At 44.7% G+C, this 22387-nt stretch overlaps 1 non-coding gene and 1 pseudogene across 4 annotated transcripts; both read right to left on the bottom strand.

The window, feature by feature from the left end:
• Positions 1-554: 554 nt before the first annotated feature.
• On the bottom strand, positions 555-22245 carry LOC112268070 (uncharacterized). Of its 4 annotated transcripts, none has more exons than XR_007062533.1 (9): positions 20755-22245; positions 19565-19696; positions 16057-16272; positions 15108-15173; positions 12892-12950; positions 11267-11792; positions 5545-5701; positions 2648-2712; positions 555-594 (listed from the first exon to the last, which is right to left on the bottom strand). It is a non-coding gene; the product is annotated as an uncharacterized LOC112268070 (transcript). The 4 variants fall into 4 exon arrangements; XR_007062532.1 differs by lacking the exon at positions 555-594 and adding an exon at positions 608-898; XR_007062534.1 differs by lacking the exon at positions 555-594 and adding an exon at positions 1215-1250.
• RNU6-447P (RNA, U6 small nuclear 447, pseudogene) lies at positions 4811-4914 on the bottom strand (annotated as a pseudogene).
• Positions 22246-22387: the final 142 nt, after the last annotated feature.

The raw sequence follows: 22387 nt of genomic DNA on the forward strand, positions 1-22387 counted from the left end.
CCAACCACATTTTTTGAGGCTTGGAACTTTCAGCCTCACCTGCTGAACTCCAGGAGGCAAAAGGAACTGGAGATTGACTTAACTACCAATGGCCAGTGATTTTATCAATCATGCCTCCATAAACACCCAAACAGCAGGGTTTGGAGAGCTTCTGTGTTGCTAAACACAAGGAGGTCCTGGGAGGGTAGTGTGCCCAACAGAGGGCATGGAAGCTCTGTGCCCCTCCCCACTTACCTTGTCCTGTGCATCTCTTTCATTGGCTGTTCCTGAGATGGAGCCATTACATTGAGCCAGTAATAGAAAATAAGGTGGCCAGATGCACTGGCTCATGCCCGTAATCCCAGCACTTTGGGAGGCAGAGGTGGGCGGAATCACTTGAGCCTAGGAATTTGAGACCAACCTCGGCAACATAAGAAGACCCCATCTATACAAAAAATAAAAGAAATTAGCCAAATGTGGTGGTGGGAACCCTGTAATTCCAGCTACTTGAGAGGCTGAAGCAGGAGAATCACTTGAGCCCTGGATGTTGAGGCTTCAATAAGCTATGATTGCACCACTGCACACCAGCTTGGACAACAGAGCGAGGCCCTGTCTCTTAACAAGAAAAGAAAAAAAACTTGTTTTTCTAAGTTCTGTGAGTTGTTCTAGTAAATAATTAAACTCAACAAGAGGGTCATGGGAAACCCTGATTTCTAACTGGTTGGTCAAAATACAGGTGACAACCTAGGACTTGCAACTGGCATCTGAAGTGAGGGTGGTCTTGTGGGACTGAGCCCCTAACCTGTGGGTTCTGTGCTAACTCTAGGTAGTGTCAGAATGGAATTGTGGGATACGCGGTTGGTATCCAGAGAGTTGGAGAACTGGTGTAGAAACTCTGCACACACATTTGGTCAGAAGTCTGTGAGTAGAGAGAAACATGTTGCAGGAAGTCAGGGACCCCAAACGGAGGGACTGGCTGAAGCCACAGCAGAAGAACATAAATTGTGAAGATTTCATGGACATTTATTAGTTCCCCAAATTAATACTTCTATAATTTCTTAGGCCTGTCATTACTGCAATCTCTGAACATAAATTGTGAAGATTTCATGGACACTTATCACTTCCCCAATCAATACCCTTGTGATTTTCTATGCCTGTCTTTAATCTCTTAATCCGGTCATCTTCGTAAGCTGAGGATGAATGTCCCCGCAGGACCCTGTGATAATTGCGTTAACTGCACAAGTTGTTTAAACAATATGAAACCTGGGCACCTTGAAAAAAGAACAGGATAACAGCAATTTCAGGGAACAAGGGAGATAACCTTAAACTCTGGCTGCCTGTGGGCCGGGTTGAACAGAGCCATATTTCTCTTCTTTCAAAAGCAAATAGGAGAAGTATTGCTGAATTCTTTTTCTCAGCAAAGAACATCCCTGAGAAAGAGAATGCATCCCTAAGGGGAGGCCTCTGAAATGGCCGCTTTGGGGACGGCTGTCTTTTACAGTCATAGATAAGGGATGAAATAAGCCCTGGGTTCGCGTGGCGCTCCCAGGCTTATCAGGACAAGGAAATTCCCGCCTAATAAATGTTGGTCAGATGGGTTGTCTGCTCTCAAACCCTTTCTCCTGATAAGATGTTATCAATGACAATGCGCGCCCGAAACTTCATTAGCAATTTTAATTTCGCCCCAGTCCTGTGGTCCTGTGATCTTGCCCTGCCTCCATTTGCCTTGTGATATTTTATTACCTTGTGAAGCATGTGATCTCTGTGACCCACACCCCATTCGTACACTCCCTCACCTTTTGAAAATCACTAATAAAAACTTGTTGGTTTTGCGGCTTGGGGGGCATCACGGAACCTGCCGACGTGTGATGTCTCCCCTGGACATCCAGCTTTAAAATTTCTCTCTTTTGTACTCTTTCCCTTTATTTCTCAGACTGGCTGACACTCAGGGAAAATAGAAAAGAACCTACATGAAATATCAGGGGTGAATTTCCCCCGATATCACACTGGCTCTTCTCTCACCTGTCTACCTGCTTAACTTAATAGGAGAGGCAATGCATGGTGCTCATGAACAAGGCAAGCATTAAAGTCAGACCAGACTAACATTTGACTCAGTCCTAATATTCAGGAGAGCTTGGGCAAATCGCTCATTAACCCCAAGTCTTCATCATTTTGTGCATATAATGGGGATAACTGTGGCACCCACCTGTTTTTGTGAGAATCAATGAAATATTATGCTTGATGTTATTGTGATCATGATACTATCTGACAAGGGCAGTGATGCATGATAACATCAAAAAATTAGAAACTGTAATGAGGTCTCTTGGGCAAAATTCCATACAAGCAAATTACTGTCTCTACAAAGCATTTCTGCCACACTTAATTCACCATTCCCTGAACAAAATGTGCCATCTTCATTGTTCAGGTCTGTATAGTGCTGGTTTCCCTGCCTGGGCAGCTCACTCCATCCCATCCCAGCCCAATCCCCATCCCTCCACCTCCCCCTTCCCTCCCCACTCTCATACAACTCTTCCTTATCTTACAGGACTTGGCTTCAATGTCACCTTAACTGGAAGCTTCTCTCCCTCTCCAGAAGAGCTTCCGATTGCACTTGATGCATGCACTATTATTTGATCATTTTTGAGTTACAGTCCAAGTCTTTTTGTACCTGAATAACATGTTGCCCAGTCAGTTTCTCTTCCTGGATTCAGAAGTCTTTCATGGTAGGTCCAGCTAGAAGTGACAAAAAGACATTTAAAAAAAAAAAAAAAAAGAGGGATGACACAGACAGACATCAGCACTTAAAAGTTTTAAACGATATGTGAAAAACAAAATTTAAGGGCTTCTAGGAGAAATGTAGGAGGGAAGGTGTTACTGGGAAATATGATAGAAGGTTAATTTTTATTTTATTTTATTTTTAGAGAAAGGGTCTTGCTCTATCACCTAGGCTGGACTGCAGTGGTGCAATCACAGTTAACTGCAGCCTCAACCTCCAGGGCTTGAGCAATATTCCCATCTAATTTTTATTTTGTTTAAGAAATGCAGTCTTGCTCTTAGCAAAGCTAAAGTGCAATGGTGTGATCATAGCTTACTGCAGCCTCAACCTTCTAGACTCAAGTGATCCTCCAGTCTTAGCCTCCCCAGTAGCTCGGACTACAGGTGTGCACTGCAACGTGTAGCTCATTTTTTTTTTTTTTAATTTGTAGTAGAGACAAAGTGTCACTATGTTGACCAGGTTGGTGGTGATCTCCTACACTCAGGCAGTTCTCTCACCTCAGCCTTCCAAAATGCTGGGATTACAGGTGTGAGCTGCCACACCTGGCTGAGGGGGTTAATTTTTAATTATATAAAGAGCTCAAAGCAAATATTAGAAGGAGCCTAAATGCCTCCAGCAGTTGACTGGTACTGGTAAATTGTGATACATCCATATAATAAAATATTATGCAACCATGAAAAGGATTAAGATAGATCAATAGGTATTGGCACAAATGTCCACGAAATATGAAAATATGAAGTGATGTTCAATCACCATGTACGTATCTTGAAGGATATGGCCCATTTTCTCAACTGCAATTATTTCCTGAGATAAGATTATGGGTCTAAAGAGTGAAGGACATTTTTCACTTATTTAAAAGTATTTATCATTTTTATAATTTAATAAAAGATTAAACAGATCATTGAATTAGTAAAAGACAAAGTAACTCTATAAATAAATGGAAAAGACACAGATACCCCAGGCATGGTGGCTCATGCTTATAATACCAGTACTTTGGGAGGGGGTGGTGGGGGGATTGCTTGAGGCCAGCAGTTCCAGACCAGCCTAAGAAACAAAGCAAGACCTCCTCTCTAGTAAAAATAAAAAAATAAAAATAATTGGCCAGGCATAGTGGCATGTGCCTATAGTCCCAACTACTGAGGTGGAAGGATCACCTGAGCCTAGGAGGTCAAGGCTGCAGTGAGTTGAGACTGTGCCACTACACTGAAGCCTAGGAGACAGAGCGAGACTTCATCTCAAAAAAAAAAAAAGGACAATAAAGAAATAAAGCTAATAAGCTAACATAAGGAAAGATAAAATATGTGACAAATAGGCTGGGCACATGGCTCACAGCTGTAATCAAGCACTTTGGGAGGCCAAGGCGGGTAGATCACGAGATCAGGAGTTCGAGACCAGCCTGATCAACATGGTGAAACCACGTTTCTACTAAAAATACAAAAATTAACCAGGCATGGTGGCATATGCCTGTAATCCCAGCTACTCAGGAGGCTGAGGCAGGAGAATCGCTTGAACCTGGGAGGCACAGGTTGCAGTGAGCCGAGATCACACCACTGCACTCCAGCCTGGTCGACAGAGCGAGACTGTGTCTCAAAAAAGAAAAAAGAATGGGTGACAAAGTAATAATAGGAGGTCTTTCATTTATCACACAGAAAATAACTTGTTAAATTATAATACCTGTGTGGGCGAAGGTGCAGTGAAATGGCCATTTTCTTGTAGTATTAGTGGTGTTTAAAATGTATATAAGCCTTCCAGCATAAAGCTTGGAAATTTTTTTTAAATCATACAGACAGTGACTCATTATACTGCCTCCTCCAACTCCTGGCCTCAAGCAATCCTCCCACCTCAGCCTCCCAAAGTGCTGGAATTACAGGCTGACAGCCACCATGCCTGAAAGCTTTGCAATTTACATCGAGGGTAATAAGAATGCTCATGCCCTGTGACTCACAGTAATCTCACTTCTGGAAATTTCACCTTTGGATATAATTCAACCTAAACAAAAGGTCATATGCACAAACACAGTGAAAATCTGGGAGTAATTTTTTTCTCTTTTTTTAAAAAAATATGGAATGCTTCACAAATTTGCATGTCATTCTTTCACAGAGGCCGTGCCAATCTCTCTATTGTTCCAACTTAAGTATGTGTGCTACTGAGGCAAGCATGAGCAATTTAAGATAGAGTGGTTAAGTGAAATAAGGAAGAATTATGGAGAATTTAAAAATCTATGCTATTTATAGGCACCTAGTAACAGCTCAGTAAATATTAGCTGCTACTATTATTATTTTTATGGTAATTTCACTCAATTAAAAACTGTCGTTAAAAATTACCATTGTCATGGAACATAATGTCTCCTACTGTATAATTGTAGAAACAGATACAATTTGTCCCTTGGTATATGGGGGGATTAGTTCCAGCTCTCCCATTTCTGTGTATACCAAAATCCACGCATACTCAAGTTTTCGAAGTCAGTCCTGTGGAATCCACATATAACACAAATGGGAAAATTAGTGAGATGTGGTGACAAGCACCTGTAGTCCCAGCTACTTGTGAGGCTGAGGCAGGAGGATTGCTTGAGCCCAGGAGGTTGAGGCTGCAGTGAGCCATAATTGCACCACTGCACTCCAGTCTGGGCAACAGAGTGAGACAGAAGGTTGACTTTTTAATAGAATTTTTCTGTTCACTTGAAGATATGGTCAGGATTGTGGCATATGAAAATTCTTCATAAAATAACTATCTAATCCAATTAATGCTGGAATTGGGAACAGCAGAAATGTCATCTCAGAGCTACTCACAATGAAAGGTGATGTCTGGGGCTCAGGTGTGTTGAGGTCCCCATGCCTGGACTATGGGTGCTGAGTGGGATTTACTTGTCCATCCATTTTCTATATTCCAGCACTGGGAAACTAGGGACAGTACTTGTTCTCAAGGGAATCTTCAGCTTAGGTGGCTCTGTAAAAGAGAAATTACATCATTGAAAAATCGTCGCAGGTCAGGTGAGGTGGCTCATACCTATAATCCCAGCCCACTGGGAGACTAAGGCAGGAGGATTCCGTGAGGCCAGGAGTTCAAGACCAGCCTGAGCAACACAGTGAAACCTCATCTCTACAAAAAATTAGAAAATGAACTGGGTGCGGTAAAACATTCGTATAGTCCCAGCTACTCTGGAGGCTGAAATAGGAGGATCGCTTGAGCCCAGGAAGTGGAAGCTGCAGTGAGCTCTGATCTCACCACTGCACTCTAGCCTTGGTGACAGAGTGAGACCCTGTCTCAAGACACACACAAACACACACACACACACACACACACACACACACACACACACCCAATCTCACTCTGTCCAGCCTTGACTAATCAAAAGGGCCTTCTGGTTACAGAAGAGGTATGCTCTTTTGTAGGACAGGGAGAGACCAGCAAGCTTGTTCACAGACTTTTCCTCATCCTCTGCTTAGTTTTCCAAGAACCCTCACAGTGGAAATGGAGTCTCTGGGAAAATGACCTAAATCTTTGGGTTACCAGGGGAGAAATATGCCTCCTTTGTCAATTAATAAATGGAACATCTGCCTTAAAATCCAGGGAGTTCTGCTAGAATGAATCACTCCCTAAGACCCTGACCAATGCATGGAACATGAAAAACTGAAGTTTAACTGGGCGCGGTGGATCACGCCTGTAATCCCAGCACTTTGGGAGGCTGAGGCGGGCGGATCACCTGAGGTCAAAAGTTCTAGATCAGCCTGGCCAACATGGTGAAACCCCGTCTCTACTAAAAATACAAAAATTAGTTGGGCATGGTGGTGGACACCTGTAATCCCAGCTACTTGGGAGGCTGAGGCAGGAAAATCGCTTGAACCCGGAAGGCGGAGGTTGCAGTTACTTCTAGAAGAATTTCCATTAGCCCTTTGAAATCCTTCAACATTCATGAAGGCCAAAGAGTTTTCACCTAATTTAATCTGATGGGTATGTGACCAGAGTCTTTCTAGGGAATAGAGACTCCCAAACAGTTCGACTGGGAAGTGAGGAGAGAATTTATTACTCAAAACCAAAGGGAAATGAAAAGAGGCCAACATAGAATGTCATTATTCTTTCTTGGCGGGGAATGGATTCCAGAGTCATTCTGTGACCTTTACATGACCTCCTTATTAGCATCTAAAAGCTTCCAGTGTAGGATGCAGCCAGCTAGGTTCTCTTCTAATGTAATAAAATTTGCTTCGGCAAATCTTATGCAGAGCCATCTCCAGGCTCTAGAAACAATAGGCTATAAATTACTGGATCTCCCATTTGATACAATGAAGTATGAGCATGGTCCTGAATGACTCCTCTACATACTACTCTGGGTGGCTTGAAGTGAATTTGATACAAGAACTGGAGCGAGGGCAAAGCAGAGCTAGATCTAGGATTAATGTGCTTGGGCCCAGCTCCTCACTACTCACCTATGAGTCTAGTTCCAGAACCCAAGTAGAGGATGGGGAAACAAGGCTCCTGACTTTTTTTCCCTAATGTCTGCATCTCTTTCACATTTCTTATCTCCTTGCAAAGAAACTAAACAGGCTCAACTGAAATAACTAAATGATTAAACCCTATACAGAGAATCTCCAAAGACTGACAAAATATCATTCAAGACTGTTACACAGACAACCTTGAGGATGACTTGATGTACCAGTGATCTACAATATTTGGGATCATTCCAAATTCCCATCAAGGATCTGCCTATATCAACAAAGGAGCCAAGGACCAACCATTCAAATGGGCCCTGCTGCCAAGCCTTTTTTTTTTTTTTTAGCAATGCCATCTCTTCATATTGTTCCATTTAACAAAACTGCAGCCCTTCATCTATCCTTAAGTCCCTTGGCCAATGGTACAGGGCCAGAGTATGCTACTCCCTAGCAGGAAATCAACAGGATGACCTACTAAACACCATTCAGAAGATGCTAAGACCCATGAATTGCAACAGGAAAGAAAAGACAGAGAATTAGTCAGACAGGTACATGCTGTGCCAAAAATGCACTACAGCCCCCACCCAATTCTGCCTAATCCTAGCTGGGCTGACACCAACCTGATGAGACAGGCCTATAAGATCTCAAACTAAAACAGAAACTCCTGAACTGGGTTCTTTCGAGCCCAGGAAGCAGCAGTAAATCATTAAAGAACAGATAAGTTCTTAAGGTGAGGGAGAGTTTCAGATAAATGGAATGCTGGTAGAACACAGGGCCCAAAGGAGCAAAAGTTAACCTAAGCCCAGGTAGAACCTTGTTTACTAGAGTATTAGGCATGGGTTTGGGCAACTATTCTAACCAGAGAAACTGGCTTCAGTGAGGGCAAGTTGGCAATCCAAGGTATAGCATGCATAGGGCTGGCAAAATTCAGGGTGACTGAAGCAAAAGCTTCATAACCAGAAAGACCACATCTGGGGGTAGAGCACAAAACTCTCAAGAGATGAATCTTTGTAAGAGTGAGGCAGAACTATATAGCAGTTTTAGGAGATCTGTTGGTGCCCAGCAAGAGCTCCAAACGGGCTATATGCAGGGATGCAGGCTGTAGTCTCAGGAGAGGAGGTTCACAAAAGTCATTCAGTCCAAGACCTCAAACTGTGTTCTCTACTAAAAGGAATCAAGGTTCCCTAGAGAAATGGCTGACTCCATGTATGGTGCAGTATATTGATCCTGGAACATCTGTTTTGCCAGAAAGCAAGGAAGCCATCAAAGTCCAACAGGATCACGTCAAAAAGACATGAAAGTCAACTTGAAGAGATAATTATTAACCTAGATGAGACAATGTAAGCATCCAAAACAATAAAGACTGCAATGGCCTGAAATACATCAAATGCAAACAATAATCTATGAGTTCATAATGGTATTCAGAAAAAAAAACTACTGGTCATTAGAGGGAAGGTTACTAGGTCACTAACTTACTACTCTGAAAAGTGACTTAAGATGAGAGGTAGGGTGGAGAATTAGCTATTTATTCAGTCTTTCCTGTACAAACATAAATTTTTAGGGAGATTGAAGCAGATGAAACAAATCTGGAAAAATGGAGGTAACTGCTTAATCTGCGGGTTGGGTGCATGGAGGTGCAACATATTTCTTTTGTGTATATTTGAACCCCCTACAAAAAAAGCACAAGACAGAATGTGAGCCAAGCAGCTTAGGGTTTAGGCAAGGCTTCTGCCTACAAGAGACACTAGGATATGAGGGGTAGTTTTAGCCCTAATGGGCTGAGCCAACTGGAGGTATATAGGGAAGTGCTAAATTGCAGAGGTATCATGTTGCCCAGCACTTGATCAAATCCTAGATCCTAGGTCTGCTTGGTAGCATGCTTCCTAGGTAGTGGATCTGAGGCTACCTATAGAACTTCCTTTGCAGTCATAGTTCGCTCAGAAACTACAAAAGTGCTTGCTCTTGAAAATGGAGTCTTTGTCCATTTCATGCTTCTATAAAAGAATACCACAGACTGCATAATTTATAAAAAGGAAAAAAGGAAGGAAAGAAAAAAGGAAGGGAGGAGGGAAGGAGGGAAAAAGGGAAGGAGGGAAGGAAAGGAAGGAAGGGAAAGAGAGAAAGAGGGAAGGAGGAAGGGAGGGAAGGAGGGAGGGAGGGAGAGAGAGAGGGAGGGAGGGGAAGGGAAGAAAAGGGAAGAGAAGGGAAAGGAGGAAGAAAAGGAAAGGAAAGGAATAAATTTTATTTCTTAACAGTTCTGGATGTTAGGAAGTCCAAGGTTGAGGGGCCTGCATCTGGTAAGGGTCTTCTTGCTGCATCATCCCACTACAGAAGGCAGAAGGAAAAGAGAGTGCAAGAAAGCAAGAGGGCAAAAGGGGCTGAACTCTGTTTTATAATAAGCCCACTCTGTGATTACTAATCTATTACCACAATAACAACATTAACTCATTCATGAAGGCTATTTTATTAGGCCCCACATCCCAACTGTTGCATTGAGGATTGAGTTTCCAGCACATAAACTTTGGGGGACACATTTAAACCATAGCAGAGCACTTAGGTTAATTCAACTAAGAGGAGCTGGGAAAATCAAAGGCATGAGAAAGACAGCAAAAGCTAGCAGAGAGAAATGCATAGGTTAAGGAAAAAAGTCACAGTGAATCCTGTAGTGCAGGCTACTTTATCAAAAGCACCTAAAAAAGATCTCATTAACTCCCCCAGCTCACCTCCACGCACATCTAAAGAGCCACACACAGCACCACCAAAGGCAGCACAATGAGAACAGCATTCTCCTCAACAGACAAGCTGGGAGTATCTAGACACCCGACCTCAATAGCTCCAGAACAGCCCTAAAACATTTCCTCCCTAACCACCACTCAAGTCACCAGCTTGGAAAGTATTAAGAAAACCCAAATCCTGACACACCACTATGAAACAACTTAAAACAGCAAAGAACAACCCATTTAAACAGCAATGCCAGCTGTTGGGAAAAAAAGGAACAATGAGTAGAGGAGAAACAGACCTCTCGGGGTCCACCAAGACCCAGTCTCTCAGCTTCAGCACTTTTAAATGCAGAATCCATACCCCTCTGGGGCCTGTGGAGCTCCACAAGGCATATCGTCCTCAAAGATAAATGAGCAGGCAAGCTGGCTAGAAAACCACTAAGGGTATTTATTCTTTAAAGAATCTTTACAGGGTCAAAGAAGAATGGGTCTTAACTGGCTATGTGAACTCCCCACAGATTCTGAGGATGATGTCAGTATCCCTCTCCAGATGTGTTTAACACTTTGCAGTCACTTGTATTCCTGCTACTGAGTGCCAGTGCTTTGCTAATTTGAACTGATTCCAGCTCACGCTGACCCCAGCTCCCTGGATGTTACCATTAGCCAAGACTGTCACCCATACTGTACCCTTTCAAAGAGTCCTAAAAACAGCTCTTCACCTACTCTTCCAAGACAAGTAAAAATGTCTGCCAAAGAAATGGGGAAAAAAGATTCAGAGAGTGAAAACAATTAATATACTAACAAGAGAGCAAAAAGCAAAAGGGGAGGAGAAACTAGGAAAATCATATATGGGCTCTCACCTATTTCCAAAGCTGGGCTAATGTCCTTTTGCTTGTGTCTGAATAAGGCACCAATTTTAAGCTGCTAATGAAAAAAAAAGAAAAAGAGAAAGAAGCAGGCCCAGGCTGGGCGCAGTGGCTCATGCCTGTAATCCCAGCACTTTGGGAGGCCGAGGCGGGTGGATCACCCAAGGTCAGGAGTTCTAGACCAGCCTGGTCAACATGGTGAAACACCATCTCTACTAAAAATACAAAAAATTAGCCAGGCATGGTGGCGCATGCCTGTAAATCCAGCTACTAAGGAGGCTGAGGCAGGAGAATTGCTTGAACCTGGAAGGCAGAGAATGTGGTGACCTGAGATCACGTCATTGCCCTCAAGCCACGGCAATGAGAACAAAATTCGGTAAAAACAAAACAAAACCACCATAAAATAACTCAGACTTAAATACAACCCTAGTGGTGAATGACTAAAGATGGATTACTCATAACAGAGACAACAGTCCAATAAGAATCCAGGAATCTTACCTTTTAATAACAAAAAAATCCTTTCCTTCTAAAGTAACATCCTCTCAAGGCCAGGAATTCCATTAGTAGAAAGCCTTCCTAAAAAACAAAATTCCTGGCCAGGCATGGGTTCACGTCTGTAATCTCAGCACTCTGGGAGGCCGAGGCGGGAAGATCACTTGATATCAGGAGTCGAGGCGGGAAGATCACTTGACGTCAGGAGTTCGAGACTGGCCCGGCCAACATGGTGAAACCGCATCTCCACTAAAAATACAAAAATTAGCCTGGTATGGTGGTGGGCACCTGTAATCCCAGTGACTTGGGAGGCTAAGGCAGGAGAATTTCTTGAACCCAGGAGGCAGAGGTTGCAGTGACCAGCAAGGTTGCGCCATTGCACCCCAGCCTGGGCGATAAGAGTGAAAACTCCATCTCAAAAAAAAAAAAAAAAAAATTCCTTTGGGAAGGCCTTCTACATAAAAATCTTCAACATGAGACTGGAAAAAAGGGTATGGGATCATCACCGGACCTTTGGCTTTTACAGCTCGAGCTATAAGAACAAAAAGAAAAAGGGATATCATTTAAACACGGTATGTAGAAAAGAATAATTATTGAATCTGTACTGGTCTTTAACTTTTACACTTTGATCTTTAATTCTGTTATTGTGATTGAGTCCAAAGAAAAACAGTATGAGTAAAATAAAAAGAACACCAAAAATGCTAATATTCTGTTTACCGAAGTCTGTAGTGAAATATCCCATTAAATCCAAGTGCAGTGACACACCCATAATCCCAAGCACTTTGGGAGGCTGAGGCGGGTGAATCTCCTGAAGTCAGGAGTTCAAGGCCAGCCTGGCCAACATGATGAAACCCCAACTCTACTACAAATACAAAAATTAGGCAGGCGTGGTGGCAGACGCCTGTAATCCCAGCTACTTAGGAGGCTGAGGCAGGGAGAATTGCTTGAACCCAGGAGGTGAGCTTGCCATGAGCTGAGATCATACCACTGCACTCCAGCGTGGGTGACAGAACAAAACTTCAACCTCCAAAAAAAAAAAAAAAAAAAAAAAACAGCTAGCAGGTGACATTTGCTATAGGGAGTAGGGAGACTAGGGATATGATCTTGCTGCAATCTTTCCATTTTAGTAAATCTAAACAGTGTGAATCCATTCTGTTTCGTCCCCACTCCACTCCAGAGCCAAAACAAGAAAATCAATTATATTTCTAGTTCTTTAAAAACATATCTAACTAAATCATCTAATTAAAAGATAATATGCATGGTTCCATACTCTAAAAGAAAACTTATGTCCTGCATATCATGGACATTTGATGAATGCTTATTCAGTTGACTGGTGTAGACTTCAGTAATAACCTGTTCAATGCATTATGCCAGATGAATCTTGCATCTCAAAAGTAGAACAAATATTGTTCTTTCAGTTTTGTCTACCCATAAATGCAATATTTACTAATAAAAAGAAAATGAGTTTATTGTTCTAGAGAGTATGAGAATTTTGACAACATGAATTCTCCTGTCCTAGGACATAATTAATACTTAGAGGCATACTATTTCATGTGGAAGCTACCATTAAATCAATGTTAAGTGTTAATTACCTCACATAATCTTCTAATCTGACTTGACTGAAGACGTACCTGACAAAGTTGATTTATCAAGTTGTAAATCTTCACCTGTTGAATTCATAAGTTCATGTCTGAAAGGTGAGAATAAATACTTAATATTCATTAGGCAATATTCAGCAAAGTAATATCCACTAGTACATATTTAATATTTCATCATGAACTGCGGGTGTGAAGAGAAAAGACAGGCTGGGCACAGTGGCTCACACCTGTAATCCCAGCAGTTTGGGAGGCCGAGGCAGGCAGATCATGAGGTCAGGAGTTCGAGACCAGCCTGGCCAACATGGTAAAACCCCGTCTGTACTAAAAGTACAATAATTAGCTGGGCATGGTGGCAGGCACCTGTAATCCCAGCTACTCGGGAGGCTGAGGCAGGAGAATTGCCTGAACCCAGGAGGTGGAGGTTGCAGAAACCATTATCATGCCACTGCATTCCAGCCTGGGCAAGAGAGCAAGATTCTGTCTCCATCAATCAATCAATAAAAATATAAGGAGGAAGCATTTACTGTGTATTTATATGTCTGGTATTATGTGAAGCACTTTACTATCTTATCAAATCTTCGGGACAGATCTTCAGTTCTCATGACCACAAAAGAGGATATTAAAGCTCAGACAGGAGAAGAGACGTGGCCAGCCTGTGTCCCCAGGGCCTATGGTCTTACCACTAGGTTACAGTGTTTCCAGATATCACATGTTGTGAGATTTTTGCTTTAAAATGAACCAAAAAAAAACCAAAGGTGAAAAAGGCATAAGCTATTAAAAAGTGGGAGAAACACTAAGAGAACCTTAAGCATGTAACTAAAAATATTATGGAAATGTTATTGAATTCATTAGCAAATTTAGTGCTAGGTTTTCATTGAGGAGTAGGTTATATTACTCATGATGAAGAAAAATGTTCATTTTAAGTATATTAACATAAATACCATCAATATTGTTTATCATGTTTAAATGTTCACTTAAAGCAATTCAGTTAAAATTCTGCATATCATACAATTTTATAGTTTGCTAGTAGGTTACAAGTAAATAGTCACCCAAATAAAAACATCATGTTTTCCACTGGTTGTTGCTCTTTTTTAGGTGAGTATTTGATGTATACCAACAGAGAGAGGATAATAACAAATCGCTAATTTCTTTCATCACTATATAAAGGTGGCTTCAGGATAGAATAGTATCAGGGCAATGATGAATTTGAAATCTAACATCAATTCAGTGATGCATCAAGATAAAAGTAGAGACAACAGGGGCACCTTGGTGAGTACTGAACATTTTATTTATTTATTTATTTTGAGATGGAGTTTTGCTCTTTTTGCCCAGGCTACAGTGCAATGGTGCCAACCTCACCTCACTGCAACCTCTGCCTCCTGGGTTCAAGCGATTCTCCTGCCTTGGCCTCCCGAATAGCTGGGATTACAGACATGCGCCACCACACCTGTCTAATTTTGTATTTTTAGTAGAGACGGGGTTTCTCCATGTTGGTCAGGCTGGTCTCGAACTCCCGACCTAGATATCTGCCTGCCTTGGCCTCCCAAAGTGCTGGGATTACAGGTGTGAGCCACCGCGCCCAGATGAATTCCAAATTTAACAAAGCAGACTAAGAGAAACAATTCATTTAAAAAAATAATATTTGGCCAGGCATGGTGGCTCACACCTATAATCCCAGCACTTTGGGAGGCTGAGGTGAGTGGATGAGGAGGTCAGCAGTTCAAGACCAGCCTAGCCAAGATCATGAAACCCCGTCTCTACTAAAAATACAAAAATCAGCCAGGCATGGTGGCTGGTGCCTGTAATCCTAGCTGCTCGGGAGGCTGAGGCAGAGAACTGCTTGAACCCGGGAGGCGGAGGTTGCAGTGAGCCGAGATCGTGCCACTGCACTCCAGCCTGGGCGACAGAGTGAGGCTCCGTCTCAAAAAAAATAAATAAATAATTCAATGAAATTCCTAAGATCCAGGGCTTTGCAATAAATATGTAAATAAATTTCCAATCTCCATACTGAAAGTTTAAAAGAAATGCTAACTAATAACTAAAGAAATACAACTTTTCCTCAGCTTTGCAGCAATCTAGAAACAAAGTGTGTAGACACTACAAAGCACCTTACAAGGAGAAACATGTAAGGATGGCATGACTCGCCGGCAGCCCTGGGCTTGTCCACGGTACCCCCATGATGAACAGTAACTCCACTGTGTAAACGCCCATGAACATAAGATTACAAGACTTTTCCAGTTTAGACATACCATATTTTCTTTCAGACAATTCTTCAGTTTGTTTACGTAGATCAGCGATACGATGATTCCATTTCTCTGAAAACCAAGCAAAAGTTGCTTCTCAATAACACATCCCTATGTCAGAGCAGCACTAACGTATAATGACTGATTTCATATATTTTACATTCTAACAGTCCATATCATTTTACTGCTTTCAAGAAAAAATTTCCCCTTCTTGGTGGTTCTTAGAATTGGTTTAATGGGAGACTATTAGAGAAGCTGAAAAGCAGGAGGGCAGAAAAGTTCAATCAAATTAAACACAATAACAGGGAGGTCACAATGAGGCGGTCTCCAGGGGTCTTTTAGCAAACTTCCTAAAACATGTCTCAGCTGTGTGAAATAAGACTTTACAGCAGCCGGGTGCAGTGGTGCAGGCCTGTAATCCCAGCACTTTGGCAGCAGAGGCAGGCGGATCACTTTGAGCTCAGGGCAACATAGCCAAAACCCCCCTCCCTAGCCCCACCCCCACCCCGTCCCTACCAAAAATACAAAACAGCAGGGCATGGTGGCGGGCGCCTGTAGTCCCAGCTACTCAGGAGGCTGAGGCAGGAGAATCACCTGAACCCAGGAGGCAGACATTGCAGTGAGCCAAGATCACGCCACTGCCAGCCTGGATGACAGAGCAAGACTCCACCTCAAAAAAAACAAAAACAAAAACACAAGGTTAAGAGGGACCCCCGACCTTACAGATACAAGTTTAAGAGGGACCCCTAAGCAAAAAATGCCAACCCTTTTTCTCCCAATCATTGAAACACCAGGAGGGTGTAACAGTTTTGCAGCCTAGCTGTAGCAGGCTGATGCCCCCAAGATGCCCATATCCTAATCCCGGGAACTGGTGAACATGACCTTATATGGCAAAAGGAGCTTTGCAGATATAATGAAGTTAAGGGTCTTTGGCTTTTGGGGTTGATGTACTCACTCGGATCCTTGTAAGAGCAGAGCAGGTGATGGAGAGGGTGGGAGGTGTAGTGACAGAAGCAGGAAACTCCAGTCATTCGAGACGGACAGCACAAGCTGAGGAGTGCAGGCCACCTCTACGGCCAGGAAACGGATTCTCCCGCAGAGCCTCGGAAGCTACCGACCCTGCTCCCACCTTGACTCAGTAGGACTTACTGTAGAATTCTGGCCTTCAGACCTGTAAGGGAATACATTTTGGTTGTTTTAAGTCACTAAGTGTGTGGTAATTTGTTGCAGCAGCCACAGGAAACTAGTATTGTAGTGAAGCCTCAAAACCCCCCTGAAGGGGCTGGGCTCAGTGGCTCATGCCTGTAATCCCAGCACTTTGGGAGGCCGAGATGGGTGGATCACTTGAGGTCAGGAGTTCGAGACCAGCCCAGCCAACATGGTGAAATGCCATCTATACAAAAAATACAAAAACTAGCCGGGCATGGTGGCACATGCCTGTAATCTCAGCTACTCAGGAGGCTGAGACAGGAGAATTGTTTGAACCCAGGGGGGCAGAGGTTGCAGTGAACTGAGATTCCACCACTGCACTCCAGCCTGGGTGACAGAGCGACGCTCCATCTCGAAAACAAAACAAAACAAAAAAACCCCACCTGAAGGTTTCCAGTTCTGCCAGCACTCTCCCACCCAACCCCCAGAAACAGACATTCCATTGCTGTGGGCCATGGACAGGCAGAAGGAAGCACCTCCTCATGGCAGAGGCCTACCCAGGAGAAACCCAAGGGAAGGCACTACTGGGCTGGCCCCTCTCTGCCAAGGCCATATTCTTTTTTTTTTTTTGAGGCCAGTTTCACTCTGTCTCCCAGACTGGAGTGCAGGGGCACAATCTCGGCTCACTTCGACCTCTGCCTCCCCAGTTCAAGTGATTCTCCTGCCTCAGTCTCCTGAGTAGCTGGGATGACAGGAGTGTAGCATGCCTAGCTAATTTTTGTATTTCTAGTAGAGATGCGGTTTTGCCATGTTGCCCAGGCTGGACTCGAACTCCTTGCCTCAAGTAGTCCACCTGTCTCAGCCCCGCAAAGTGCTGGTATTACAGGAGTGAGCCACTGCACCCAGCATTTGCCAAGACCTTTGATGGCAGGCTTTTTCCAGGTGATCAGTCCTTGTCTGGTCTGGCTCTGCCCCACTCTCCTTCTCACCTAGTTGGAATCCCTAGCTACTTTTCAGTAGAGGAGAGTGTGTACCCCAATCCCAGCTTGGTTCAGATCTGCATTTAACTCATGGAACCTGGCTGCTCCCCAGGTTCTGAAGAAAAAAACGGTCTCTCTGTGGGTATGATAAAGGATGGGCCTGTCCCCAGGACCCTGTGAGAGGGAAGCCCAATGTCCCACCAGGTTGGCAGGGCTGGGGAAGGGAAAGTGTTATGGCAGCCCCAAGAAAAAAAAGAGGCAGCAGAGGGAGCAGGACAGCGCTCACATGGAACTCATGCCACTGCCTGAGGGGAGGGAGGAGTGCACGCCAGTGACGTCAGGGGGCAGAGAGGCGCAGTTCCAGGGCGGCTTTCCCCCTCACTTCCTGCCATGTTACTCTGATCGCCTCCAGGTGAGCCTGCCCACTTTGTGCCCAGGGGCCTGTAGAAAACCACAGCTCCCCATGGTTATGGCCCCAGGAGTGGGGCAGAGCAGGGAGGAGTCCTGGACAGAGGAGAGGAAGGGGCAGGAGGGAGTGGGCCTCAAACTCCAGGAGGGGGCCCTTCTCATGGGTCCTGCTTTCTGGCTTCTCCTTCCTTACCCCTGGGCTGATCACTTGGGGAAGAACTGAGACAAAGTTTCTCACCCTCAGGCCCAAAGGGTTTAATTACTGGGCCCTTAGGGAGGTGTGAGCCCCCTGAAAGGATGCAAGGTTTTGTTTTGTTTTGTTTTTTGAGACAGAGTTTCGCTCCTGTCGCCCAGGCTGGAGTGCAGTGGCGTGATCTCACCACACTACAACCTGCGCCTCCCAGGTTCAAGTGATTCTCCTGCCTCAGCCTCTGGAGTAGCTGGGATTACAGGTGGCTGCCACCACGCCTGGCTAATTTTTTGTATTTTTAGTAGAGACAGGGTTTCGCCATGTTGGGCAGGCTGGTCTTGAACTCCTGACCTCAGGTGATCCGACTGGCTCCGCCTCCCAAAGTTCTGGGATCACATCAGCCACTGTGCTTGGCCACGATGAAAGGTTTTGTGTGGAGAGCATGTACATGCCTTTCTGGGAAAACAGTCCACAGCTCTTATTCTCAGCAGGCTTCACGGTGAAAAAAGGTTAGAACTCTTGCTACAGAGCTGTGGAAGCAGCCAGGTGAGGGGCCTGCCAAGGGCACTCTGGGCACTACCTGGGCACTCTCGAGCCCATCATCCCCTAGGCAGGCTGCACTGCTTGGTATTTGCAGAGCTGAGGGGGTGGGGCATGTGGGGACTGTGAAATCGCCCTGAGATGACCCACAGTCCTCAGCTAGGAAGTGAGCGCTGCATCTCCTGCAGCGTCCTCCATCCCTAGAGCCATAGGGCCAGGAGAACCGGCCCTTGCAGCAAGTGAAAAGCCTATTATTGATTCCCTCTCTAGCCATGTAGACAGTGAACCAAGACACTCATATCAGGTAAATGCCTTGTTCTCTGTTACCAAGGTAACCAGTAGGCATTCCCAGATACAGCAAAGGTCCTCACACCAAGATATGCACCTGGCCACCTGAGGAAAGAGAAAGGACTATCTGAGGGGATGGGGCTGAGCTGGGTGTGGAGTGGTCCTTGTGGGTCTTGGAGAGTGGGAGGGGGAGCAGCATGAGCCAGGCCTCGAGGCAGAAGGACAACCAGGAGACAGCCTGGAAAAAGTGCTGGACCCACAAGGGCTCAAGGCTGGCCAGAGGGGAGGTGGGATAGGCTGTAAAGTCCTGAGGTCTGAAGATTGGCCCTGGCAGGAAGAAACCAGGTAAGGTGGGGTGTTACCTACACCCTCGGGGCCAGATGCAGGCCAGAGCCAGCCAATTACCAGGCCCTTAGGGAGGTGTGAGCCCCTTGAAATGATGCAAGGTTTTTTGTTTTTGTTTTGGAGACGGAGTTTCGCTCTTGTCACACAGGCTGGCACCTTTGCCCAGAGCAGGCACCAAGACTTCTGGCTCTGGGTGTGACCTCAGTCTGGGTAAAAGCCCCAGCCCCCACCAGCACCACCTACCCCCTAGACTACTTCAGGTGCTGAGCCCAAGCCAGGGGCAGGAAGCTAAACTGATGCCTAGGGTAATCCCAACAAAGTCCCTGGTTCCCCGCAGCTATGGGGCTGATGGGGAATTACAGCCCAAACCCCAGATGCTGGCTCTCAAACTAACACTGAGCCCTCAGTGCCCACAGGGAGATACAATCAGCGCACTTTCCAGATGGGGAAATGGGATCAGAGAAGTGCAACAGCCTTGCCCAATGCCCCAGACCAGGGCTCCAGGCCCAGAGTGTTCTTTTGTCACTGTGTTCAGAGGGCAGCAGCTGCTGTGATGTACCCACCTGAGCCTGGCAGCTTTCTCCAACTTTGGAAGCCCAGGAGCATGGCCCCTGTCCACAGATGCACCTGGCACGAGGCGTGCCCAGAGGGACAGAGGCAGATGAGTTTCGTCTCCTCCACTGGATTGTGAGGGCCTAGAAGGAGACAAGGGTCTGCTTGAGAAGGCAGTGAACAGCGAGCAGCCTGAGGCAGTGCCCCTCTGGATGGATGCGCAGTGCCTGGATGGAACCTGGCTCAGACAGAGCTCAGTTCTGCAGGTCCCTGAGGCATGGAGAGTTCACAGCTACCAAGTGTAGGAGTCTGGATTCAAAGCCAACGGCGTCACTCCAAAGTCCCTGCCCTAGCCCCTGGACCACCCTTGCAAGCCCATCAGATGCCCAGGCCAGCAGCACAGCCGGCCAAGACCAGGGAAACTTGGGGAGCCTCAGAGCACCCCCAGGTATTCCAACCTAACCCTGGTGCCCCGCCTCTCACCACCCTTCTTCCTGCTTTAACCTCAACCCTACACAAAGCCTGGGCCACTTAATGTGGCATCAAACAGACGCCTCAATAAATCAGTCTAATCTCGAAAAAAAAAAGACTTAACAGATATACAATTGCACGTTAGAATGCTAAAGACCATAAACATAGAACAACTCAAAGTACATATAAATTCAACATATATCCAATCATTGTAACTATGACACAGTAGAATATTAAAATACTATTTTCAAAATGTATACAAGCTTAATGTTCTATGTATTCAAACTATTCAAAATACAAATCATCAACATAAATTGCCACTAATATTCAGTCCCTTCACAGGACATGATTCACTGGGAGTTAATAAATTAGCAGCCGGCAGGCAGTGACACACCGCAAAAATGAAAACCAAGAGGTGAAATAGTTCTGAAATAAAGGTTTTAAAGCTAACAGAAATCACTGAATTACTAAGTCATTAGCACTAATTTTGAGCCAACTAACTAATTAATATGAGATGATACAATGTCCTATACTTTGGTAAATACAGACTATGTTTAAACAATGTCTGTAACGTGACTTGTAAAATGCTCCTGGCTTTACAAAGATGTGATTAAGATGTAGTAACACATGCTAAACCATTTCCCCCTGCAGAGCATGTGGTAACTTTCATCAATCACACTGAGAGTCCAGAAGATAAAGGAAAAGGTCATGGATTTCGCTGAGAACTTACCAGAGTTGAACTCCCTCATTTTCCGTTCCCCAGCATTGGCGGGTTCTGGGACTGGTGGCTGTGGTGGCTCGTTGGTCTTTGTCTCTTAGAAGGTGGGGAATAATCATCATCTTGAAAAAGAAAAAATGGTCATTACTGAAGGAACCATCTTAGGTTACAGCCACCTCTGGGTCAATTCCCAACATTCAAAAGCTGAGCAGGGCTTTAAAGCTATCTTATTAATAATTATTTCTGTATTGCGAACTTCAGCATACTTTTTTCTAGTTACATTTGAAATGTTATTCTTTTGGGATGTGCTCAAGTGAGTACTGCTTTTTCCTCTGCCTTGCTTCATTACTTTTTAGTTTCCTTCATTTGAATCATCATTGTAAGTCTCCCCTTCTCCTCAAATAACTTTCAAATTGCTGCCAAGAACTATGTTCTATCTTAAGGCTTTTGAGAAAAAACTTTCAATGAAGATAGCCGCCTAAAGTTATACAAATATAGAAGAAACGGGATAAAATAAAGCTTAGATTGGAAAAAATATTTAAGATTCTACAAAATTCACGCGTAAACAAGGGAAGCTGAGTAATTGTATGTTCAAATACTTTTAACAAGTGCAAAACATGTAGGCTTAAAGAAATAGAGCTGGCCAGGCATGGTGGTTCACGCCTGTAACTCCAACAGTTTGGGAGGCCGAGGCAGGCAGATAACTTGAGGTCAGGAATTCGAGACCAGCCTGGCCAACAGAGTGAAACCCTCTCTCTACTAAAAATACAAAAATTAGGCCAGGAGTGATGGCTCATGCCTGTGATCCCAGCACTTTGAGAGGCCGAGGCGGGTAGATCACCTGAGGTCAGGAGTTTGAGACCAGCCTAACCAACATAGGGAAACCCCGTCTCTACTAAAACTACAACATTAGCCGGGTGTGGTGGCACATGCCTGTAATCCCAGCTACTCGGGAGGCTGAGGCAGGAGAATCCCTTGAACCCAAAAGGCAAAGATTGTGGTGAGCCGAGATTGTGCCATTGCACTCCAGCCTGGGCAAAAACAGCGAAACTCCGTCTCAAAAAAAAAAAAAAGAAAAAATTAGCCAGGCATGGTGAAGTTGCAGTGAGCTGAGACTGCACCATTGCACTCCAGCCTGGGTAGCAGAGCAAGACCCTGTCTCAAAAAAAAAAAAAAAAAAAAAAAAGAGAGAGAGAGAGAGAAAGAAAGAAAGAGGGCTACATTATTTATGAAACAGATACTGTTAACTCAGTCACCAGAAAGCCTGTGTATAAATGAGCAGTGAGATATTCAAGCACAGCACACACACACTTCTCAGGACAGCTGTCGTGAGTGTTCCATGCTCGTTTCCTTCTGGATACATCAGCAACTCACTCTGCTATGATCCTGCAATACATCTCATGTTAGAATTAGAGACATCTGGGCCAGGCACAGTGGCTGACGCCTGTAATCCTAACACTTTGGGAAGCCGAGGCAGGCAGATCACCTAAGGTCAGGAGTTCGAGACCAGCCTGGCCAACATGGTGAAATGCCGTCTCTACCAAAAATACAAAAAATTAGCTGGGCATGGTGGCGCGCGCCTGTAATCCCAGCTACTCGGGAGCCTGAGGCAGGAGAATCGCTTGAACCCGGGAGGTGGAGGTTG

Source organism: Homo sapiens, chromosome 11, assembly GCF_000001405.40.
Source record: "Homo sapiens chromosome 11, GRCh38.p14 Primary Assembly".
Classification (NCBI taxonomy): Eukaryota; Metazoa; Chordata; class Mammalia; order Primates; family Hominidae; genus Homo; species Homo sapiens.